At 40.1% G+C, this 26,900-nt stretch overlaps 1 long non-coding RNA gene and 1 pseudogene across 1 annotated transcript; one reads left to right on the top strand and one right to left on the bottom strand.

Annotated features, from left to right (window-relative positions):
* Nucleotides 4,215-5,158, bottom strand: OR4G6P (olfactory receptor family 4 subfamily G member 6 pseudogene; annotated as a pseudogene).
* Nucleotides 21,551-23,021, top strand: FAM138E (family with sequence similarity 138 member E). Its single transcript, NR_026819.1, has 3 exons — nt 21,551-21,911; nt 22,151-22,355; nt 22,458-23,021. It is a non-coding gene; the product is annotated as a family with sequence similarity 138 member E (long non-coding RNA).
* The last annotated feature ends 3,879 nt before the right edge of the window (nt 23,022-26,900 follow it).

Below are 26,900 nucleotides of genomic sequence, written 5' to 3' on the forward strand. Positions count from 1 at the left end.
CAGGCATAGGATGTGCATTTTTAGGAGAAGGAGAAATTCAGATAGCTTAATCTTCATTTATGTAATACCCCAAAGACAAAGCTATATATAAGATTCTTCATATTGGAAAGGAAGCTAATTAGCTGCACAGGAGAGGGACCCACTGATGCTGCTGAGACAGACAATACCCAGCCCATTATTAGTTTCTCTTGGGGACTAGATCTCTGAGTCACACAATTTCCCCTTGACAAAAGTATCAAAAGAATTGCCTGCTGATGAAATAGGGGGAAGGAAGGAAGGATTTGAGGTACTACATTGGCTAGTAAAAAAGAATCCCCATTTAGCATGGGTAATCTTAGTGTGTGAATTGTTCGGAATGACTGAGATGAGGGAGTGAAAATATATTCAGGGTGGACAGACATACCTTCACTTATGGCACCATGAATGAAATTTGAAGAAATAAATATAAAACATCTGATCTTTAAATACAATGCCTGTAATTGATAACAGGTGAATAAATGGATCCTTCTCCTGTTATCAGTTATAGCAAATGTTTACCTCTGGATGCCAACCTGTGCTCCCAAAGTTTAGTGTGTTGGGGTTGAAGGTTTCTTTGAAAGTTTTTGACCTTTGTCCTTCCTGAATTGACTGGCTACAATTAAAATTTGTATTTTTTTTTGGATCATTTTTTTCAGAGGTATTGGAAAAACATATACAAATATAAAAGAAAAAATAGAATCATTCTGAGTTTCTGTAACAAGAGTGTGTTTCCATGAGGGTGAGGTAATCATTCACAAAAGGACCTGTATTGAGCCATTGAGACAAGCCTAGTGGATACCCCTGGAGAAGCTTGGCTTTATTATTGATGTAAAGACACAGAAAAATCTAATCTCCAGGTTATCATGGTGGCCTGAAAGTGCAAAGGCTCCACCTTGGTTTACAGTGGCATTTGTTTAGAGCTGTATTTCATTTTCTCTTGTTCAGAAATGAGGAAAATGATTTTCTCTAGAACAGCAGCAGAATAAGAAATGTTGGTTGATCCCAAATTAATTTTTGAAAAATAGTAACATTCCAAAAATACGTAAGCAAGATAAAAACTGCAGAATAATGTGGGCAGAAATATTTTTTAAAATTAGGATACACAGTCAGTTACATGGATTATTGTCTACCTAAGATGAGGTAAAACAGTGTAGGTGCTTAGGGAAACCACAACTACAGTGACGTGAGAGGAAAATCTGTTCTATTGCCCCCACAGAGGTCTCTTCTGCAACACAATGAGCAGTACATAAGTCATTCTGATGTGCCAATGTGCTCCTGTCCTGTGTGCCATTGTTCTAAGTGGGAAACTGGGGTAGCAGGCCGAACAGCGTATTGAAATGAATGAGGGAGCATCTAGGCAGAAATAAGTTGCAGGGAGTTGGCCAGCCAGATACAGAACATGTTGTGATTTGAAGGCTGTTTCCTGAGGCATGAATCATGGGTTTTCTAGGCAGCAAAAGGCTTTTGGGCTAACAGAGAAGCTGGAGTTGTTAATGAAGAGTTCATGAGACCTAGTAGTACAAGAGAGGACTGAGAGTGATAATTTACAGGCTTCTTCACCTGAGATTGGCTCAAGATTGGAATTGGCTTAAGCTGCAAAAGGAATTCATTAGTGGATTTCACCCCAGAGATTTGAGGTGATGCAGGCAGAGGAAATTAATTGAGAATAGAAAAGGAGATTAAAAAGGAAGTTCTTTAGTCGTATGACCTGTGATTGAACGTAAGAAGAAAGCTGAAGCATCGTTCAATACATTAGTCATGTTGCAATAGTTTTACTCTTTGCTATATTTATGATGTGATAGAGGTGAACATGACAAAGTCCTGCTCATGTTGAACTTAAAATGCAATGAGGAAGACATCACTGAATGAAAAATTTTGAGGGCTGTTAGTCTTACAAAAGAGGTAATAGGTAGTGCTAGAGGAATATACAATGGAAGGAACTCTTCTGGACTCAGGTTCTGGGAGGCCTCCCTGGTAAAATGATGAAACTGAAAGCTGAGATGTTAAGAGGCAAAACATGAAGGACGAATATTGTATACAAAATGATTAGCTAGTGGAAAGCCCCAGAGTTGATAGAATTTGAAGTTTCCAGGCAAGTAAAAGAAAACCAAATTGGATCTGGAGTTGCAGGGAAAGAGTATGTTATTCTCTGAGACTGAAAAAAAGGAAGGAAGCCAGGTCTTGGATGGCCTACTATACCATGATAACATACCAGTTTAAGGGCACAGAAGCATGTGAAGTGTCTTTAGCAAAAGAATTACATACTTAGATTAAAAATTTTTTTTCTTTTACTGAAGCGTAGATAATAGGATTTTAAGTGGGAAGATCGCATAGGTGACTATATTCTCTTCCAAAAATGACATAGGTAGGCTTAGACAGGAATAGTGGTGTTACAGATGAAAATAAAGGAACATATGTAAGGCTCTTTGGAAGGTAGAATAAGACTTGATGATTTATTGATTTTGGGGTACTATGGAGAAAGAAATCTATTATTTTCCCCAGATTTTGGGTTGTGCAACTAGGTAACTAGTTGGTACAAATTATTGTGACTGAGAACACTGAAAGAAGAGTAGGTTTGAAAAGAGGAAGCCTAGTTTAGTTGCAGACTTGTTGAGTGGAAGATCTTGTGTGGCATCCAGGAAAGTAGGAGGTTAGATCTGTGGATCAGGAACTCAAGAAATAGTACCAGGGTCAGGTGCAATGGCTTGTCCCTGTATTCTCAGCTACTTGGGAGGCTGAAGCAGACAGATTGCTTGAGGTCAGGAGTTTGAGACCAGCCTCAGCAACATAGTGAGACCCTGCCCCTTAAAAAAGAAAGAAAGAATGAAAGAAAGAAAAGGAAAGAAAAGGAGGAAGGAAGAAAGAAAGAAAGAAAGAAAAAATAGAAGGTTTGAGAGCCCCTAGTGTTTAGATGGTAATTAAAGCTGTGGGAATGGGTGATACGTAGAGATAGAATCTAAGTGAAAACAGGCCAAAGATCAAATTAGGGGCAATAGGTTGATTGGTGGTTAAGCAGATGAGGAACACTCAACAAAAGACACAGGGAAGGACTTGCCCAGGAGGTAGGAGAAAAAGCCAGGAAGCTGTGGTGTTCCAGAAGCCCGGTAGAGTATATGAAGATGGGGGAGATTAGCAGCAATTAAGAGAAGAAATTCCCATTCATATGAGTGATAAAGCAATTAAGTAGAATAACTTAGGAAGGTTCTTGGAGAGTCACAGGACAAAATAGCATAGGTACGGTTTCTCTTAATTGAGCTGTTATAATTTACAAAGCAGTAGAAACAAATACATGAAAAAAGTATGTGTAACTTCAATAGAGTTTTTATTTTGAATGCAGAAATCTTCAATGAAATTGAATATGCCTCACCATGTCTAGCTTTATTCTTATCCCAAAATATCAACCACAGATGCATAAGCTCCAGGGAATCTTTTGCCTGACTAGAAAACCTTATTTAAGAAACCAGTACCTCTAAACACATATCCTTGGGCGATTAGTCTCCTGTGAAACAACTGTTATTTCTACACATCTATTTAGAATAAACTTGGATGATTGACTTTTGGAATGTTCTCATTTTTAGAATAATAGAGATGTAGGAAAAAGTGAAAATGCTCTGTCTGTATCTATTTAAAGTCTTGACAGCATTAAAGAAATTTATTCTCTTCCTGCAATCACTCAAATCTGAGCACAAAACTGAAATAGCATCGTAAACTGACAAAGCTCAAGGTAAAGTCAAATCTCAGTTCAGGGCTTTGCACACGTATTACATAGTTGTTTTTGTTTCTTATTCTAATTTAAACAGAAATTAAAATGGAAATTTTAAAAATATACTTTATTAATTTATAATTTACCTAAGTTCACATTTTATTTATTCCATCTATATGCTTACTATGAGATAAATTTATTATGTTTTGAAGCTGAAAGTAATTACAATTAGCATGTCTCAGAAAATGTCATTCAGGAAATAGTATTTGAATATCAAGTTTACTCCTGCAAATCAGCTTGGTTTTGTATTCTTATCTCTCTTCTCAATGGAAGTATATGAAATTAATCTCTTCTCTGTGGTGGCAAGTTAAAGATACCTCTGACTTAATCAATTTCTACATGGCACCTTTGCTAAACTATCTCCCAAAATAGTAGTTCTTATCACAATAATGCTGGTAGCCATGTGACTTTCAGTGTTCTTGGTGAGACTGAATCATCTTGCACTCTGGATATGCACCATTTATTATGACATCCTGCTAGAACCTGCAATCCATTTTCCCAGTCTTTCCATGGAGACGTTCATGTCTTTGTTTCTTAATGTGTAGATCCTAGACAGGGGTGATAGCAAAAGGAACAATGAACAAATATTAATCATGTGTTGTTTTAGGCAAAGGCTACACATAGAGAAATATACATGGCATAAAAAACAAAATCCCTACTGTGATGTGATCTAACATGACACAAATGCTTTAGATAAGTCTCCTGAAGAAGGATTCTAGACGGTTACCGAAATGAAAATATAGGATATTATTAATAAGAAACAGGTAGCTATGGATATAAGCCCACTGTTAGCAGTGACTACAACCTCTAGTTTGTAAGTGTCTACACAAGCAAGTTTCATGACATAAGGAAAATCACAGTGAAAACTACCTACTCTATTAGGGCCACAAAAAGGCAAGTTTATGGCAAAAACAAACTGAGATACAGCATGGATTATCCTGACTATCCAGGATGCCTCCAACAAAGTAAACACACATTTTGGGGTTCATTGTGGTCAGGTAATGGGGAGGCTTACAGATTGGCAGTGTACCTGCTCTATGCCATGGTTATGAGCAGCACCATCTCAATTTTTACGCATGACACAAATGAAAAATATCTGTATCATGCATCTTGGAAAAGAAATGATGCTGCAGTTAGTGAAAAAGTCAGAACTGTAGGAGAAGACCCAGATCAAGAAGATAAATGTTGGCCAGTAGGCAGTACCTGGGGAATTTAAATGAGAGTCAATAATTACTGTGAACACAATGAAGAGATTTTCCAGGATAATTCCCATGTAGAACACAGAGAAGAACCAAAAAAGAAAAGGATGCATCTCCCAAGAGCTTGAAAGTCCAATCAATACAAATTTAGATACCGCAGAATTATTTACTCTATCCATTGGCCATTGACTCAGTCAGTAGAGAAGAAGCTTTAGTATTCTGAAGGAAGAAAGTGAGGAAGAATTGAGAAATACAAATGCTACACGTTGAAGTGTTGTTTGACCATAAATGATTTTGTGGGAAATATGTGGCAAGTGCTGAAATATGAAGACAGAAAACACACAAAGAGAGAAAATGAAAGAAAGATAAATGAATTGGGGAAATGCGGTGATCATAAGTTATTTATTAATTTATTAATCATGTGATGATAAGTTATTAATTATTAATAACAATTAGATCATAAGTTATTTATTAATTATTAATAACTATTAGACAAGAACAGCAAAGAAAAAAATCATGTGGGAATATGGCAGGTGGAGTGAAGGATTAGAGGGGCAAAGAATATAATTTCCGTAACGGAGTGCTTCTTTACCATGCGCATCGTGCAGTAATTACGGCTGCTTCAGTCTTACTCACCCATGTTCAACACAACGTCGTCCACGTAAGAAACAGTCACCGTATTTGAAATGCTAATAGCCTTAATTGTATTTATCTGCATGTACCCTTAGAGGATGTACTCTCTGATCAATCTTCTTTTTTTTTTTTTGAGGCGGAGTCTCGCTGGGTCGCCCAGGCTGGAGTGCGGTGGCGCCATCTCGGCTCACTGCAGGCTCCGCCTCCCGGTTCCCGCCATGCTCCCGCCTCGGCCTCCCCAGCAGCTGGGACCGCAGGCGCCCGCCACCGCGCCCGGCTAACTTTTTGTATTTTTAGTGGAGACGGGGTTTCCCCGTGTTAGCCGGGATGGTCTCGATCTCCTGACCTCGTGATCCGCCCGCCTCGGCCTCCCAAAGTGCTGGGATGACAGGCGCGAGCCCCCGCGCCCGGCCTCTGATCCATCTCTTACTTCACACAGTCTCAGGCATTAATCACACACTAAGAGTGACTGGCCAATGAGGGAAAGAGCAATTAATCTCAGAGGTACAGTAGCATAAAATGCAAAGACTTACTCTTCCGCTGGTTTTCCAATACGTGTGATTCCAGCCAATCACTTGTTGACTTGTTGGAGGAATAAGACTCACTTTAAATAAAGTGAAACTCAACCCCCACAAAAAAGAGTATCTGAAACTCAGAGAGAGGGCTTTTCCATGCTTTGTTAGGAATCAGAGTTGGTGCTTTTGAGAGTTCTGCTCTAGGATTAATACCTTTGACAATTTGAATATGAAGTTGGGAAATAATGGTGTCTTTACTAAAACAAAATATTTAATCATGATACACTAAAAGCACGTAAAAACTACAGGCCCACAGAGCCACAGAGATAAAGGTCACGATAGCTGGTCATCAAATATTTGAACTTTGTCCCATTAAGATATTTTTAAAGGTCAGTAAAATTGATACCAACTACACTTTAGAGAGAACATCTGTTATTATCACTACTTGTAAGTAGAAAGTTTGAAGATATCTATCCATAACATATTTGGATCCATTCATTATGTGATGTAAAGTGAAAAATTAGAAGTACATTTAAGAGTGACATATGAGAAAATCATTAAATAATGCAGAAAGGGGTAATTAAGATTCATACCAAAATGAACGTAGCCATTATAGACGATACAGATTTAGGTTTGTTGACAAGTCCAGTAAATTGTTAATGACAAAAGTTGGTTACAAAAGGATATGTCTTATGTAATATACTCTTTATTTGAATACACTGTAAAATATGTAAGTATATACATCAGCATCTCTAGAGAACCACTTTGGATAATGGCATTTTAGGTAACCTTAATATTAAAAAGGTTGACCATCTATATTTTGTTATTTTCTATATTGTTATTTTTCTTTTATGAGAAGGAAATGAAAGGAAAGCAATAGGAGAGAAAGAAGAGCAAGGAAAGGAAAGGAAAAAGAAAAGAATACTGTGAGATTTATGGAGGGAGTGAAATTTTCTCTCTCTCCCTCTTACACACACACACACACACACACACACACACACACACCAGTTAGAGACAGATGTTTTGTGGCATTGGTTTCATAACTTTATTATCCTTTGTTAAATCACCATTCTCAATTAGTGAATGACAGTTATTGGGTGCATTATGAAAAAATACCCGGGTGTTCTATGCCAAATTTTAACCAGAATTCTACATGCTAATTTGTTTAGAAAAAAATGAATACATGGAATGAATTTTGAGTTAGGGAATATAAATGATAACTGGATGGCATTTTACAGAATCCTTGGGTGTCCCAGTTATTTAGAACAGTGAGTCCTACACTGAAAACAATAGGAAAACACTCTTATAAGCCATACCTTCATTTTGCCAATTAAATTTTATTATTAAATAATTTTTTCCTATGTTTTCTAAAAGAGATAAGACTGAATGAAACAATCATCCTAAAGAGAAAAGCTAGAATTGTGTAGTGGCATCAGGCTTACTAGTAACTCTAAATACTACTATGTCGTGGCGATTAACCTGTTTATAGAGGATCCTATCTTTTGTTCAAGACTTATCAGGAGTTGGTTCTAACATTCAGTTAGTTTGCCCTGAAATATTGAATTCATGCTCAGAGCAGTGAGAAAAGAGTGTATTCAAATAAGTTGAAAGAGAAAACATTTAGTGTTTTGTTTTGTTTGTTTGTTTTGCTTTTTTAGAAAACATTAAAGAATCAGGAATCCTCCTAAGGGAGAGTACCTTAAGAGTTGGTTGCTATCCTTGCTGGATATCTTGGCTTTAACACTAATAAGTGGGTAACCTTTTCAAACAGATAATGTAGAAAATCAGATAGAATGTGTGTCTCCTGACTTCAGTGATTGAAGATTCTCTCTGCCCTAAGGAACTAAGGGAAATCGTAACTTTTCTGAGACCAAAAACACAAAGAGACAATAATACTTAAAATTAATTTCACCAGTGCCTTGTTAACTGATGTATCATATGCATGGATTTTTCTTTTTTTCTTTTTTTTTTTGACTTTTATTTTAGGTTCGGGGGTACACGTGAAGGTTTGTTACATAGGTAAACTCATGTCCTGGGGGTTCGTTGTACAGATTGTTTCATCCCCCAGGTAGCGCCCGGTAGTCAGTAGTTATCTTTTCTGCTCCTCTCCCTCTTCCCGTCGTCCTCAAGTAGACCCCACTGCCTGTTGTTTCCTTCTTTGTGTTTACAAGTTCTCATCATTTATCTCACGCTCATAAGTGAGAACATGTGGTATTTGGATTTCTGTTCCTGCCTTAGCTTGCTAAGGATAGTAGCCTCCAGCTCCATCCATGTTCCTGTCAAAGACATGATCTTGTTCTTTTTTATGGCTGCATAGTAATCCACGGTGTATCAGTACCACACTTTCTTTATCCAGTCTGTTACTGATGGGCATTTAAGTTGATTCCATGTCTCTGCTATTGTGAGTAGTGCTGCAATGAACATTCTCATGCATGCGTCTTTATGGTAGAACGATTTATATTCTTCTGGGTATATACCCAGTAATGGAATTGCTGGGTTGAATGACAGTTCTGTTTTTGGCTTTTTGAGGAATCGCCATCCCATGCTGCTTTCCACAATGGTTGAAATAATTTACAGTCCCACCAACAGTGTATAAGTGTTCCCTTTTCTCTGTAACCTCACCGATATCTGTTATTTTTGACTTTTTAATAATAGCCATTCTGCCTGGTATGAGATGATATCTCAATATGGTTTTGATTTGCATTTCTCTAATGCTCAGTATATTGAGCTTTTTTTTCATATGCTTGTTAACCATATGTATATCTTCTTTTGAGAGTGTCTATTCATGTTCTTTGCCCACTTTTTAATGGGGTTGTTTTTGTCTTGTAAATTTAAGTTCCTTATAGCTGCCAGATATTAGATTTTTGTCAGACTTACAGTTGGCAAATATTTTCTCCCATTCTGTAGGTTGTCTGTTTACTTTGTTGGTAGCTTCTTTTGCTGTGCAGAAGCTATTGTTTTATTAGGTTCCACTTCTCAATTTTTGCTTTTGTTGTGATTGGTTTCCGTGTCTTTGTCATGAAATCTTTGCCCGTTCCTATGTCCAGGATGGTGTTGCCTAAGTTTTAGCTCTATTCATAACTACCTTAGTTCATTGTGATAGAGGCCCTTTTCAGAACTGATAGACACAGTTTCATTAAACCATTTTCATTCTGATAATTACCCCTTTAATTCTTGGCCCAGGCATTGACTAAGATTATCAAATGCTTTATCAAATATGGCATACAGAGGGAATGGCCCCAGCATTCTCTATATGAGGACAGAAAATCACTTCCCCCCACTTTCCATTAGGAAAATGTAACGCACACGATGTGAACATGTTTGGTCTCCGCAGTGGGAAATGTGACATATCATATGACATAAGGAAGGTGACAAGAGATAACAGATCCTTATAATACTAATTCTCCAAAGAGAGACAGTACAAATGTCAATGCATTTAGAAATCTCTCCTTTAACGGGTGTAATATAATTTAGTGATTAAGATTGTAAGAATAATGCTCTGAGGATTGAAATAATTGGAGATAGGAGGAAAACAGAAAAGTGGAGGAGATAGAAGGTTGAAGGGAAATGTAAGAAGAGAGAGATTGCCTTGACATTGCTAAACTTTGGGAGCGTTTTTCTGACCTACCTGTTCTGTTCCAGGGTGTGCAGTAGTGACACTGGGAAACTGATCATTTTGATTTCTGCTTTCTAGTAGAATCAGCTCCAAGACAAAAGTATATATACATTTTCTTCCCAATGATTAACAGAGTTAATTAGTACCACTAGATGTTAGTGACCCATTGATGCTTCTTAGATCCTTGTAACCAGGCCTCCATTGATTTCTCTTGGGAACCAGATCTATGAGTCATATTAATTTTCTCAAGAGAAAAAATATCAGAAGAGTTACTTGGTGATGGAAAGTAAGGAAAAAAAGAAAAATGCAGGAAATATGTTCCCTCTAGGACAGGAAAGTGATACCATGAGCTTACTTAGATTAACTGAGTTGAGGGAAACTAAGACGTCATCCACCATTGTTGAAGATGCCCTCATTCATGGTGTGGGGGTCAGTGAGCTTAATGTGTGTCAAGATATTCTTTTAGAAACAAGGAAGAGAGCTTTAATGCAATGGTGATATTCGTATAACTATTCTTGATTTCTTCCCATTCAACACTTTTTTTTTTACTTCATTGGATAGGGATGACTGAAACCAACACTTTTATCATCTGTTAACTATTCCAAAATTTATCATTCAACACTGAAAATGTGTTGTATAAATGAATGAATGTATGTCTTCGTGTAACCATTCTTTCCTTAAAACATACCGAGTTCTGACTAAATATAAGGGACATGGAGCCATGCTTAACTGTTGAGCAAAATAAAAGGGCTCAAAAGTGTTTCTCTAGATCTGGAGGTGGTAAATTTGACTCATGGGACAAATCTTTTGTAAATAAAGTTTCACTGGAACCCAGTCACACTCATTTGTTTCTGTATTGTCTGTTGACAGTTTTTATGCTACAATAAGAGTTGAGTAGTTATGACAGACACTCTAGGGCCTGTAGAGCCTATAATATTTACTTTTGGCCTTTTACGGAAGAAGTTTACTGACCTTATCCTAGATCAAGGAAGTTTGGCAGAGGAAGAGGGTATGGTAGAAGCACCATCCATATCTATCTTCATCATCTTCATATATAGTTGGGAGTAAAGATGCAGATGAAAGTTGAGAAGGTAAGGTTCTTGAAGTCCTGTAAACCCTGCCTCCAGACACATTGTCTGGAATCAGGATGTCTACATGATTGCAGGGCTAATGTAAACTGAATTTGTGAGGACTTCGGTTAAAAAAATTGTTAAGAATTTCAAGGCAGAAACAGCAGAGCATTAAAAAAAGTGTAGGATCCTTTTAAGTGTGGGATCTTGTTCAACTGCACAGGACACACACTTGTGAAGCTGATGTTGTCTGCAATAATGCTAAGAATCTTAAAGTGTTGAATTAGAAGTTAATACAACTGGGCAAACCGCTCGGGTCCCCTTCCACACTGTGGAAGCTTTGTTCTTTCACTCTTCACAATAAATCTTGCTGCTGCTCAAAAAAAAAAAAATAGTTAATACAACTCTGAGCACTCAGTACATAAAGTTTCCTTTCCAGTTGCTGAAGGAATTTATAGTGGCCCGTACCCTGTACATTAACACATGAATGAGAGAAATGAGTGCATGAATATTTTGAACAGTGTGACTTAAGTGAGGTACGAACCTCAAAAAGACGTTTTTTAAAAATTTTAAATTTTAACTGCTATATTTCTTTTTGATAACAAGTTATATATCTTTATGGTGTGTAATGTGATGTTTTGATACATATGTATATTTATCGTGAAACAGTGACCACCATCAAGCTAATTAACGTAATTCATCATCTGACATAATTATCTTAGTCATTGCTTTGCAGAGTATGAGTGTCTGTTTCCTCACAGGCTCATCCATGATATATTATTATTTATGAAAACACAATAGCAATGCTATATTTTAAAATTTACATTTCTTTGATAAAAAGTGAGTTTGAATATTCTTCATATGTTTATTTTTTATTTGGATTTCTTGTTTTGTCCATAGTCTTTTTATGCTTATTTTAAATTTGGTTTAAATTATATTTAAAAACCATTTTCCCACATTTGTTTTTACTTTAATGAATTAATTCTTCTGTATAATTTTTTTAATCTGAAAATGTCAGCTTTTTTGTTTCTCATTTTTAAAAATTATTTTTTAATTGACAAAAATTATATATATTTGTGGAATACAGTGTGATGTTTTAATATATGTGTATGTTGTTGAATGAATAAATCAAGTTAATTAACACATATATTACCTCATATTAACATTTATAATATACTGTATTAGCAATTTTCAAGCATACAATACATTATTAATTACAGTCAACATGTCGTATATTGGGTCCCCTGAATGTAATCCTACTAATTGAATTTTTTTTCCTTTTATTAACAATGTCCCATTTCCTCATCCTCTCCCTGCCAGATAACCCTAGTAACCATCATACTATTCTCTGCTTCTATGAGTTCAGATTTTTTAGATTCTAAGTGAGATCATGCAATATTTGTCTTTCTGTGTCTAGCTTATTTCACTTAGCTTAATGTCCTCTAGGTTCATCCACGTTGTCTCAAATGACAGAATTTCCTACTGTTTTTAAGGCTGAATAATTTTCCATATCACATTTCATTTATCCATTCATCTGTCTATGAACAGTTAGGTTGATTCTATATCTTGGCCATTGTGAACATGCTGCAATAACATAGGAGTGCAGATATCCCTTTGACATATTGATTTCAATTCCTTTGGCTATATACCCAGAAGTAGGATTCTTGGATCATGTGATAGTTCTATTTTTAATTTGTACATGATACAAGGGTTCCCTTTTCTATCATCCTCTCTGATAGTTGCTATCTTTCATCTTTTTGATAAGAGCCATTCTAACAGGTTTGAGGGGACATCTCATTTTGGTTTTAATTAGTACTTCCCTGACAAATAGTGATGTTGAGCATTTTTTGATGTATCTGTGGCCCTTTGTATGTTGTCTCCTGAGAAATGTCTATTCCTGTCCTCTGCCGATTTTTAAATAATTTATTTTATTTATTTATTTATTTATTTATTTATTTATTTATTTATTTATTTTACTTTTGACATATTTGTGTTACTTGTATATTCTGGATATCAATCCCCAGTTGGATGAGTAGTTTGCAAATATTTCTCCCATTCAAGAGGTTATCTTTTTCACTCTATTGATCGTTTCTTTTGTTGTTAGAAATTTTTTAATTTGACATAGTCTCATTTGTCTATTTTTTCTTTTTTTGCCTGTGCTTTTAGAGTCATATCAGAAAAATGATGGCCCAAACCAATGTCAGGAAGAATATTTTCTATGTTTTGTTCTAATAGTTATACCATTTCATGTTTTAAATTTGTATTTAATCCATTTCCAGTTGAATTTTGCATATGGTATGAAATCAGGATTCAACTGCATTCTTCTGCATGTGAATATATAGTTTTTCCAGCATCATTTATTGAAGAGATTGTCTTTTCCCCATTGTCTTCTTGACATTGTTGTTGAAAATCAATTGAATGTAAATGTGTGGACTTATTTCTGTGCTCTTTATTCCATTCCATAGGTTTATCTATGTGTTTTTATGACAGTATCATGTTGCTTTGATCACTATAGCTTTGTAGTAGATTTTGAAATAAGGTAGTGTGATGCTTCCAGTGTTGTTCATCTTGCTCAAGATTGCTTTAGCTATTCACAGTCTTTTGTGGTTTCATGCATATTTTAGAATTTTTTTTTTATTTCTGTCAAAAATACCTTTGGGATTTTGAAGAGATTGCAATAAATGCATTAGATCTATAAATTGCTTTAAGTAGTGAGGACATCTTAACAATATTACTTTTTCTAATCTATTAACATGAGATAGCTTTCTATTTATATGTGTCTTATTCAACTTCTTTTTTCAATGTTTTATAGTTTTTAGTGTACAGATGTTTGGTAAAATTTATTCCTAAGTATTTTATTTTTTGGATTCTATTGTTAGTGGTATTGTTTTCTTAACTTCTTTCTCTGTTAAGTCCTTATTAGTGTATAGAGACACTACTGATTTTTGTATGTTGATTTTGTATTCTGCAACTTCACTGAATTTACTAGCTCTGTAGTTTTTTTTTTTTTTTTTTTTTGCTGAAGTTTTAAGGGGTTTCTACATATAAGATTATGTTATCTGTAAACAGAAAAGTTTGCTTCTATCTTTCCAATTTGGGTGTTTTTATTTTTATTTTGTCTAATTGTCCTGGCTAGGACTTTTAGTACTATATGGAATAGAAATAGCAAGAGTGGGAACCTTTATATTATTTCTGACCTTAGAGGAAAAGCTTTCATTTTTTTTACCATTGTGATGATTTTACTATTATGATGTTAGCTGTGGGCTTGTTATATATGGCCTTTATTGTGTTGTGGTACATTCCTTCTATTCCTAATTTGTTTTATCTGATGTCTTATTATGAAAGAATGTTTACTTTTGTTAATGCTTTTTCTGCATCTATTGAGATGATAATATGATTTTTATTTTTTATTCTGGTAGTGTGGCATATCACATTTATTGATTTCCATATTTTGAACCATTCTTGCATCTCAGAGATAAATTCTACTCGATTATGTTGTATGACCCCTTTAACGTGCTGTCGAAGCTGGTTTGCTGTTATCTTGTTGAGTATGTAGTTTTGTCATTTACATTGTCTATTCAAACTGACAGCTTGAATGTTGTGGTTATTAATATGATTTATAATATTCTTCATATTTAATAGGTATCAGTGGCTTGTCACACATGAAGCATACATATTTTTCCCACTTTGTCTTTATTTTTGTTTTTGAAAATTTAAATTCAATATGGTAAAATTTAGACTTTTTTCATGGTTTCTGCTTTTGCTTCCTTGCTTAAAGTTGCATACCTCATGCCATAATTATATACATTTTGCCTACATTTTTACAAGTTATTTTATGGTATAATTTTGAAATAGTTCAATCCAAAAATATTTATAAATGTACATATTCAATTTCTATGTGTCTAAAAATCCAACTTGTTGTTTGTTTTTCAAAAAGTATTTTATTCCCTCCACAGTATGTGGATCTATTTACCTCTCTTTTGAAAATATACCTTTATTACCAGACAAAACTTAGATTAGTTTCTGGGCTTTTTTTAAAAAAAAACTATTCTAATCTTTTTTTTTATTGTGAATAATTTAAGGAATCATTGATTAGTGTACATTCAACAGCACAGAGTTCCTACCGCAACTCCTTCCTGATTGCTAATTGATTAGTTTCTAGATCTGATATGTCATTGATTTCCTCCATTGCATTCCATATGGGTTAACTTTTGTATTTTGTGTGTTTAAGAAAAGCATAAATAGAGATCAACCCAGCACTTTGCTGAGAATTGTCAAATGAATTTAGTGTAATATTGGTTCTCACAATTAGTTTTTCTGTGTGGGTCAGTTTTCTAATTTCTGCACAACTATGGATTGCTGCTTAAAACGGATATTGATTAATTACACAGGGGTCAGCTTAAGATGGGATGTAATTGATCCAATAGCCAGAAGAAAACAGGAAGAAACAAATGTACACTTCTTATTTATGTTTCTTATCTTACTGTATACTCCAAGCATAGTATTAATGAGCAGAGTTGAGAACCTGACTCAGCCACTTATGCTTGCACAATAGGCTCTTGAATAAAGTAGTGATAAGTGTCAAGTATTAAGGTTTTGCATGGGTAATTCAGCATGATCTCTTATCATTAAGGCAGTTCTAGCTACAGCCTCTGTTGAATGTTTGACCTTTCAGAAACAGTCATAGATGTTCAGCCCTTGACATGATTGAGGCATTCAATTGGCAACGTAATGGCACATTGTTTACCCTCTCTACAGTGGAAGAATAGCAATTTGTTCTTACTGGGATAAATGTGTTTTCCACCTGTGGCTTTGACTCTCCTGCCATCAATGCCTTGGCCATTAAACTATCCAAAGATGCATAGAATGCCTAATGTTCTTTGTAACACACCTTAGGACAAAGGAATATATTTTGTAGCAGAGAAGGTACAATAATATGCATACAACCAAATGATCCACTGGTGCTATAATACACTATATTAAACAGAATCTATCAGTCTGATAGAACATTAAAAGATATTTCTTTTAAAGGTGGATATAAAGGTGCAACTAAGTGCCAATTTAGGGATGGTACTTTTCAGAGTTGGGGCTCTGTGCTTTAACATGTTATACTTTGAACCAATGGACATTGTAAGATATTGGGTCCTAGAATATACAGGTTTGTAAACCAAGGGCAGAGGGTGAGAGTGGCTCCTCTCACTAAAACTCCCTTGGAGAATTTGAGCTTCCTGGACCTACAGCATTAAGCTCTGCTGGAGTAGGGAGAATGCTTCTTCTGGGTACATAGTAAGCATTCCAATAAGCATAAAGTTTTAGTAGCTCCATGTCATTTTGGCTTCCTTGTGTATGTAGGTTGGCAGACAAAGAAATAAGTTATTATACTGGCAGTTGTAATTGACCTTCCTTATCATGAGGAAATAGAAATACTGCTATACCTTTATCAACCATAGATGATGACAATTGTAAATTGGAAATTGCAGCAATTACAGCCTGACAGGGCCATGGTAATCATGGGTCTTTGGAAGTGAACTAGACTAGCAGAAGCACTGGATAAACATAAGGGGAATATAGAACAGGTTGTAGAAGAGGAAGATGATGAATGTCATCCTGGGAACAAGTGTAATGACAGGACCCATTAACTCTTGTTCCTTTAACACTCTTGTGTTTGAAGAATTAATGATGGAGTGAACTCACATAGAGCATAAACTCCTCCACGCATGGAAAGATGTGGACTGTTTCTAGTGCTGTTGGTGTCTTGCACATACCCCTCTCCACTTAATATTCCCAAGAGTTTGGATTGTTCTATAAGCTCCTGAGAATCTCTGGCTGAGGACTTTTCTTTGAATATAGAAAAAGCTAAACTCACAAGGTGGGGAAACCTAGAATTGCTGTAGAGAAAATGCCCTAGAGCAGCTCTAGACCAGTAAAGAAATGCACAGCTTCTTTGTTTCTTAAGTGGGACAACTACAAGTCATAGAATTTATACAGTCTCTTGATGGCCACAGCAAGAATGTGCCCTTGATGTCCACTGTAGTAAATACAAATCAATGCATCCTTTATTGGCATCCTCCCCTTTTCTTGCCTGGGGAGGCAGAGGTTGCAGTGAGCCGAGATCATGTCACTGCACTCCAGGCTGGGTGACAGAGAACCTGTGTCAAAAAAAAAAAAAAAAAAAAAAGGAAGAAGGAAGAAGAAGAAAGGAAATATGGCATGTTGGGGATGGGGATGGAAGTGGGTTGCAATTTTTAAAAGGGTAGCCAGGGAAATGCTTACTGAGATTTTTAAGTACAAGTCTGAAGGAGGCAAGGGAGTGAGTCAAACATATACATGCAGGAAGGGCTCTCTAGGAGGAGAAAGCAGTGAGAGCAAAGGCTGGGAGCCAATGCAGCCCTGGTGGCTTCGAAGAACAGCAGAGGGCCAGCGTGGCTGCGGCAGAGGGAGTCAGGGCAGTGTGCTAGGAAGTGAAGGCAGGGAGATGCAGGAGGTGTGGATTGTTGGGGCGTCACAGGCTGTGTGACTCCCAATTGCTGTGTGACAAATTCCCACAAATCCAGCAGCTGCAAATACGACCCAATGTTCCCCAGCTTCTGCAGGTCAGGAGTTGGCACAGCCTAACTGGTCCTCTGTAAGGTGCCATCAGGGTGTCAGCCAGCACTGGGTTCTCATCTAGGGCTCAGCTGTGTGGATGGCTCTGCTTCCAAGCTCACATGGCAGCATTCAGTTCTATGCAGGGTGCTGGACACAAGACCTCAGCTTCCTGGTGAGCATCGACTGGAGGGGGCTCTTAGCTCCTCGCAGCTGATCCCCTCCATGAGGCAGCTTGCAACATGGCAGCCTGCTTCTTCAAAGGCGTCAAGAGAGAGTCCCCAGAAAGACAGGTTATGATCTTAACATTTTATTTATTTATTTTTTGAGACAGAGTCTCGCTCTGTCACTGAGGCTGGAGTGCAGTGGCACGATCTTGGCTCACTGCCATCTCCACCTCCTGAGTTCAAGCAATTCTCCTGCTTCAGCCTCTTGAGTAGCTGTGATTACAGGCGTGCACCACTATGCCTGGCTAATTTTTGTATTTTTAGTAGAGGCGGGGTTTTGCCATGTTGGCCAGCCTGGTCTCGAACTCCTGACCTCAGGTGATCCACCCACCTCAGCCTCCCAAAGTGTTGGGATTACAGGCACGAGCCACTGCGTCCAGCCAGTGATCTTATACAATATGATCAGTACATGAATCACATATATACCGCCTCCTTCATAAGCAAGCCACAGGTTCTGCTTACAACCAGAGAAGGGGATTATTCAAGGGTGTGAATGGCAGAGGTGGGGGTTGTGGGGGTCACCTTAGTATCTGCCACCACAGCCTGTCCTCTGTCCCCAAGACTCATGTCCCTTGTGCATGCAAAACACATTCACCCCTCTTGAGATCCCTTCATGCTCACAGTCCCGAATCTCATCTAAATCGGGTTTAGGTGTAGAACAGATTTCTTTGGATGTTCCTCTGATCTGGAAAACTAAAGATACAAGCTATCTGCCCTCTACATATGCAACACACAATGGTGGGTAAAGCTTGAGACATTGCTGTTCAGAAAGAGGCAGCAGGGGAAGGATGAAGGAATGGTGGTTCTGAAATCCAGCTGGACAGATGCTGGTGTTCCCTAAACAGGTTTTAAGATGTGGGAAGATTCCATGTCTCTTGGCTCTGCCTTCTGGGCTTCTGCCTCTGGGTCATCCTTCTTTTCTCACGAAAGATCCACGTGTTTGCAGCCAAGTAGTTTTATCAGCCTTCTTCTTGACAGCAGAGTTTGGGGTCTCTGACAGTCTTCTTTCATTTTGCACTCTGTCCCCTACAGACCAATCTGCCAGCACTGTGGGTGAAACAGCTTTCCCAAACCCTTTGCCTGTCCTCTGTGGGTTTCAGTGGGGCTCATAGTCGATTTGTCAAGAGCCATACCCATGAATCTTTTAGAGATAAACTCTACCTTTCTACCTTCAGCTCCTGCCAAGATGGCCCCCAGGGTAACTCACTGAAGCTTCCCAGGGGCCCTAAGGTTTGGTGGAGAGGTTCTGCATGGTACACCCTTGTAATCTCTTGCAACAGACCTCTGTGTGACTCATTGCTACTCCCATCCTTTGATCTTTATGCATAATCACAAAAGACTGTACAGTTACACCCTATGCCACATGCTCAGAAGCCATTTGTTAATTTCAGCATCTTTTTCCATGTGGGGAGACTGACAATTTTCAAAATCATCAAGTCCTGATTCAATTTTAACAGTTTAAAAACCAGTCTCTTTCTCAATTTATCTCTCTTCTCTCACACTATATTATAAGCAGTAAGAAGAAACCAGGCAGCATCCTCAACATTTTACTTGGAAATCTCCTCAACTGCATACCCAATTTATCACTTACATGATGTGTTTGCCACGTAACTGCAGGAGACCACTTTTCTAAGCTTTCTGCTCCTACCTAACAAGGATCCCTGTCCTCCAGCTTCTAGTGCGAAAATCCTCACTGCCTTTGAGCAGTGGCGAGTCCTCCGAGCCCAGATATCTAGCAACAGTCTGCTCACCTTAGAGTCTGTCTGTCACCACCTGGGCCATTTCTAAGGGACCATAGCTTTCCTCTGAGATGAGGCTTTGAGCTGAGGAGCCACATGATCTGACATGGTTAAGGATGCCTCTGGCTTCCCTGTTGAGAATAGACTGAAGGGGCAAAAATGGAAGCAGAACAGCAGTTAGGAGGCTCCTGTCAAACCCACGTGGAAGGCAGGCTCTGGGCTGTGTTACTGGACTAACACTAACACCGTCCCCTTGCACTTCTGAGGGGTCCCTGGAACTTCCCCAGGGGATGAGACTCCTGGCTAGCAGGACTCAGCCCCTCCCCTTCAACTTTACTCAGGACCTGGTCTCCCCTCCTTAAGGTCTCTGGAGCCCAACGCACACTTCAGCCCACTCTCACAGGCATTCTCTCTGTCCACAAAATATCAACGAAGAGTCTTCTGTGAGTGCAGCATGGTGTGAACACTGGGAGTACAAGGAGAAATAAGACACAGTTGCTGTGCTGGAGAAGCTTGTGCCCAGTGGTGGTGATACTGCCGGAGGTGAGACCACTATGCCAGCACAGGAACAAAGACGGCAGGGGCACAGGGCAATTCAGGGGTGCAGATCTGGGGGCATCCAAGAGGCTCCTAAGCCTCAGTATATAAACTGACAGGTCACAGCCTGCTCTAGGAAACACCTTCTTAAGGGTTGGAGTTATCTCTGTGCATCCCATCCCCACCCCACCAAGCCGCCCTTGGCCCTGCCCTCAGGAGCCTCTGCTTGGCCTTGCTAATTCCTCTCTTCTCCCTGAAGCTAGAGTGAGGTCCCTCTTGGCAGCCTTTGTATCTAGAGAGAGCCGTCCAATAGAAACATAAGGTGAGCAACATGCTTAATTTTAAAATTTCTAGTAGCTACATTAAACATTTTTAAGTGAAATTAACTTTAATAATAAATTTATTTAACCCAATATATCCAAAAGATTATCATTTCAACATGCAATCCTATTTTAAAAATAACTAGTGAGGTACCTGACAAAAAAAAAATCCCTTTTCATGCTAAGTCCAGAAGATCTTTGTGTATTTTATACTCATAGGACATCTGAGTTTGGATGTTACCTTTTTATTGGAAATATGGGATCTGCACTTAGATTTCACTGAATTTACATTGAAAAGGTAGGTTCACATACCCAAGTTGTCTCACACATACCTAAATGTTTTCTGGTAACTGGATGGAGTATCAGTTTTTATATTTATCTTTGCCTTAGCTAAAAAACAAATTAATAGTGCAGGTCCTCAGCCGCACGCAGGCAGTTTTCTCCACGGTCCAAATGGTTGCCCGAATTCACCCAGACCCCGCTGTCGTCCGCTTTTTCATGCAGACATTCAAACAACTGCCTCCCTTCCTCCTGGCACCCCCACCCCATCGCCAGCAGCCTCCAAACCAGTTTCCCTCCTGTCCTCATCTCAGCCACCCATGACTCACACACACATCTGGCTCCCCTGGCCCACTTTTCACCTGGTCCTCATAATCTATGCATAAACATTAACATACCACAGAGTCAATCTGCATACTGATTACTTCTGCTCTGGTCAAATTCTTGCTTTCAGGATCAGGAGGCTTTCTCCCCACACCAAACTGGGCCTGAGGAAATAGTGTCTTGTCTTCCTGTCACCCCTCCCGTAGTTGCATGTCTAATGAGACAAGGGGTGTCTCAGGTGAAGCAGGACAGGGAGGATGCCAGCACTTGGGTGGGAGAGGCTTGAGGAGTGCCTGTTGGGGGATGTGTTGGGGAAGGATGACTTTTCACATATGGCTCATTGTGTCGGGATGATTTCGTTGTTAAATAAGCACCTACAGGATGATTTCACATTCCATACTTCTAAGTTTTTATAATTTAAATTCTTTCCGCCAGGCTGGGTTTTTTTTTTTTTTCCAAACTTTGAATCTGTGGCTAGAATTGGTTTGATTTACATAATCCTGCCCCTGAGATTTAGCCCCACCCCTGAGAGCCCCCTCAGAGCCACCCACAGCCAGGACACCTCTGCTGGCCTCCCCTTCCCCAGCCTTCCAACTTGTGGCAGGCCCCTGGCTCTGGCCTCCCCCTATATGGGAATGAGCCAGCTGCACCGCTGCTGACAGTGGCTGGGATAATCCTCCCTGAGCTGTTCCAAGGATTAGTCCTGCTGCCCTGTGCCCAGCTCCCACACAACGGGGTTTCGGGGCTGTGGACCCTGTGCCAGGAAAGGAAGGGCGCAGCTCCTGCAATGCGGAGCAGCCAGGGCAGTGGGCACCAGGCTTTAGCCTCCCTTTCTCACCCTACAGAGGGCAGGCCCTTCAGCTCCATTCTCCTCCAAGGCTGCAGAGGGGGCAGGAATTGGGGGTGACAGGAGAGCTGTAAGGTCTCCAGTGGGTCATTCTGGGCCCAGAGATGGGTGCTGAAGCTCCCACGCCTGCCTGTGAAAATGGAGTCCTCTCTCACCTGGGAGAGCCAGGTGCTGCCCCGAGAAGGATGCATTTATGGCTTCATGAAGTCTTTCCTGACCCCCGATGCTGCTGACTATAGGTAAGTCTGAGCAAATCTGGCGGAGCCTCATCTTGGCATGAGAAAGAGATGGCTTCTTCTAAGCCCACTGGCCGTGATCCCAGGATTATAACACATTCTGGCTCAAGTCCAGACTATTTGTAGAACACAGGAGATCCTCCATGAGAGGTAGTATAATATAGAGGATATGTGTGCTTACTAAGAGGCTGCCTGTCTGACCTTGGACAAGTTCTTTTTATTTATTTATTTATTTTTTATAGAGACAAAGACTCACTATGTTGCTCAGGCTGGTCTTGAACTCCTGGCCTCAAGCGATCCTCCCACCTCAGCCTCCCAAAGTGTTGGGATTATAGACATGAGCCACTGCACCTGGCCGACCTTGGGCAAGTTCTTAAACCCTTCAAAGCCTCATTTTTCTCCAATCACAAAAGGGAAAGATGGTAATATTTTCCCCACCAAATTCTTGTAAGTATTAAACATTGTATATGTATTTTGAACACGATTAAGCTCTAAACACTTGTTAGGAAGCAGGACTGGCATTTGAAACAAACAGCTCTTTTCCCACAGGTCGGATGCCCTCACAGAATTGAGATTATGTACGTAAAACACAAGGTGCCTAACCCGGCACAGAGCAGGAGGGCTAAGCGTGACATCCAGCACGTGGTCAGTGGAATCCAGTATTCCTACCCACCTCTCTAGTCTCCCCTCCACCCCTCTCCCTTTCAGAGGCACCAAGCTGCTTGTGGTCTTGTCTGTTCCCACTCCCTGCCTGACTGAACATTTTCTCCACCTCCTGATCATCAGCAGCAGAAACTGGCTGCTCTTCCTGCTGGGTAGACAGCCAGACTGTATTTCCCAGCTGCCCCTGCAGTGAGATGTGGCCATCGGAGCCAGCATTGGCCAATGGACTCTGCATGGGAGTGACGCATGCTGCCTCCAGGCTTGTCCCTAAAACCTCCCACGTGTCCTCCGCCTGCTCTTCCCACCTCCAAGGAGCACGGCAATTGTGGAAGACCCAGATTAGTGATGGCAGAACCATAGATGGGAGGAACCTGGGTCCCTGACTTAAAGTATCATGGATTTGGATGTTCCCTTAGTGAGAAATAAACTTCCATTGTGTTTAAGCCTTTATTTGTTTATAGTTGGTTACAGCAACTGCCTTCTTTTAATTAAAACACTCCTGCTGCTTCATGTTGCTGGAATGCTTGTAACCCTGCCCTGCTTCACCAGGGTAACTCCTACTTGGCCTTTAAGTTTATCTCTGCTGTCACACCGTCCAGAAAGCCTTCTCCCAGCACCACAACCCCTCCACCAAGGGTTAGGTGTCTCCAGCAGATGCTGCACAGCTGGCTGCCCTTTGCCCACCCTCCCCTTCTTTCTCATAGAATCCTAGGACTCCTCTGTATCTAGAAGGAGTTGTGTGGTCCAGTGCTGGCCAAGAAGATGTGAGAGCAAGTCGCTGGGTGGAGATTCTTAGGAAAACTTCTTAAAAAGAATGAGACTGGGCTCCTTTCTGCCTTTTACCATTTTTGTGTATGCTTGCCTTCTTCCCACCTGGGACTCTGATGCAGCACCTGTGAATGGGCACACATATTACAACTCTTAGGCTGAAACCCACGTTCTCAGGCAGAGGTCTCTTGTGGGCATTTAGTGCTATAAATGTCTCTTTACACACTGCTTTAAATGCGTCCCAGGTCTTAGGGTATATACCCAAAGGATTATAAATCGTGCTACTATAAAGACACATGCACATGTATGTTTATTGTGGCAGTATTCACAATAGCAAAGACTTTGAACCAACCCAAATGTCCATCAATGACAGACTGGATTAAGAGAATGTGGCACATATATACCATGGGATACTATGCAGCCATTAAAAAGGATGAGTTCATGTCCTTTGCAGGGACATGGATGAAGCTGGAAACCATCATTCTGAGCAAACTATCACAAAGACAGAAAACCAAACACTGCATGTTCTCACTCACAGGTGGGAATTGAACAATGAGAACGCTTGGACATGGGGCAGAGAACATCATACACTGGGGCCTGTCAGTGGGTGGGGGGCTGGGGGAGGGATAGCATTAGAAGAAATACCTAATGTAAATGACAAGTTGATGGGTGCAGCAAACCAACATGGCACACGCATATCTATGTATCCAACCTGCACATTATGCACATGTACCCTAGAACTTAAGTATATAAAAAAAAAAGAAAAAAAACTTTCACCTTTTTCCAAAGTGTTGGGATTATGGGTGTGAGCAACCACATCTGGTCCTTTTTTTTTTTTTTAATGGAGGTGAAATTCATATAAGTTTGACCATTTTAAAGTGAACAATCAGTGGCATTCAGTACATTCACCATGTTGTGCCAACACTATCTCTATGTAGTTCCAAAACATTTTCATGAGCTCAAAATGAAACCTTGTACCCATGAAGCAGCCACTTCCCATTCTCCCCTCCCCTTAGCCCCTGGAAATCGGCTTTCTTTCTCCACGGATTTACATATTCTGTATATTTCCTATAAATGGAATTACACAATAGGTGACCTGTGTCTGGCTTCTTCCACTTAACCTAATGCTTTTGAGGTTCTGTCACATGGTGCCATGGATCAGCTCTGCCTTCCTTTTTATGACTAATACTCCACTGTATGTCCATATCACCATTTGTGTATTCACTCATTAGTCTATGGACACAAGCCTCATTTTTAAGCACTTCAAATATGTTAACTCACTGAATCCTCACCACAAAGACAGATGCAGTTATTACATATTGACAGAGTGAAAACTGAGGCACAGGTAACATGCCTAGGATCACGTGGCTATGAAGCAGAAAGAGGACTCCAGCCGAGGCAGTCTAGTCCCAAAGTCCTTCCCTTCCTAGTAACCACTATGCTCTCCTGCCTCTCAGAGAACAACCCACATGGCACAACACGAGGGCTAAGCTGTCTGGTCTGTCTGGTGAAGCTTCAAATGCTGTTCATTTCAGATAAGGGGAGGTTCCTGGGCTGCAGAGGCTTCCTAGAGGAGGAAGACCATGTAAGGTCTAACTCAGGGCAGGTCAGGATGGTGTGAATTCACTCTGAACACAGTCACCGATGGGTGTTTATGAAAACTGGCTCTGGAACTCCCACAGGGAAGGTTCTTATCTTTGCGTGCACAACACAGAGCCCTCTGGGTAGACTTCTAGACCCAGGCCTCTTTCAAATACATTAGAAACCTCAGCAAGATAAACTATTTTCTGTCTGGCTGCATCTGTCTATCTGTTTAGAGAGCAGGACATTTCCATCCTCCTCTCTCCAGGCATCCTTGGAAGTCTTTCCCACAAGCAAGACATCTTGGTGAAATTTAATGCTGCGGAGGGAAGTGGTTTTCAGGAGAGAGGAGTCTGTTCCCAGAACTGTAGCACAAAAGCTAGAGGCTGAGTAGGAACATCTTAAACTAAGTCCTCAGTCTTATTTCCAGTTTTCTTCCTGTAGATCGGGGCTTAGGACACCCTGTCACATTTTCTTCACTCCTCCACCAGGAATTCCTAAAATCCATGCTCTTGGATCCTGGCAAATCCAGGAGGCTGGGGGATGTGGCAAGCTTCAGCAAGACTGCCTGGGACCAACCCTGCAGCCTTAATTTCCCAGGCCCGCTCAGCCCAGCTGGCCAGCAAAGGCAGGCAGAGCTTCCGTGTCCACACATGAGAATGACCTGCAGCTGTTCTTTGTCCAGGCTGAGGTCCAGGATTCCCATTGCAGCTCCTAGGAAATCTTTAAAATTAGGTCGGGGATGAGCCTGTCAGTAGATTAGGTAGGGAACTTTTATGAAGTTGAGGGTGAACCATCTGGAGGGTGAACTGGCTGGTGTGATTCTAGAACTGGGGGTGGTGCCTAGCAGTGCATTTGTGAGAAGACACAGCCAGGCTTGGTATATGATGTGGTGTGTGTGTATATTCACAGGCATCGTGGAGCATATACACTTTTTTTGTGTGTGTTGAAATCTTACAGATTACAAAGTACTTTTTTTTTTTTCTGAGACAGGGTCTCTCTCTGTCGCCCAGCCTGGAGTGCAGTGGTACAATCATAGCTCACTGCAGCCTCGATCTCCCAAGCTCAAGTGATCCTCCCGCCTCAGCCTCCCATGTAGCTGGGACTACAGGTGTGTGACACCATGACTGGCTATTTTATTTTATTTTTGTAGAGATGGAATCTCACAATATTGCCCAGGCTGATCTCAAACTCTTGGGCTCAAGCAGTCCTCTCGCGTCAGCCTACCAAAGTGCTAGGATTACAGGCATGAGCCACCACGCCCAGCCAGATTACAAAATACTTTGACATCTTTTCTCTACAGCCCTCAAAAGGAGGCAGGGCAAGCACAATTAAATCCCATTACAAATGGGGTGACTGAAGCTCCATTCATGGCTTGCCCAGGGTCACACAAAGAATGAATAGCAGAGCCCTGAGCCTGTGTGCTTCCCTCTGTGCCAGGCTGCTTTACCCAGGCATGGGTGCACCTTGTGCATGGGACATTTCTCCTTTGTTGTGTCCTGAGTACCTTAAGCCACTCAGATATTGCTCAGGTGGAGTGAGGGGAAAATGTTTTCAGGTTGTATTAGTCAAAACAAAATACCACACACTGGGCGACTTTAAAATCATACATTTATCCCTCACAGTTCTGGAGGCTTGGAAGTCCAAGTTCAAGGTGGCAGCTGGACGGGTTCCTGGTGAGGGCTCTCTTCCTGGTTTGCAGACAGCCACCTTCTCTTCGCATCCTCACTTGGTGGGAAAAGACAGAGGAGAGAAAGAGAGAGAGAGAAAAATGAGATAGAGAGAGAGAGAGAAATGAGATAGAGAGAAATGAGAGAGAGAGAGAGAGAGAGAGAGAGAGGGAGACACAGAGACAATGCTCTCTTTTCTTACCAGATCTATAATGAGGGCCCCACCCCATGACCTCATCTAACCGTAATTACCTACCAAAGGCCCATCTCCACATACCATCACATTAGGGGTTAGGGTTTCAACATAAGC

Source organism: Homo sapiens, chromosome 15 (assembly GCF_000001405.40).
Source record: "Homo sapiens chromosome 15, GRCh38.p14 Primary Assembly".
NCBI lineage: Eukaryota > Metazoa > Chordata > Mammalia > Primates > Hominidae > Homo > Homo sapiens.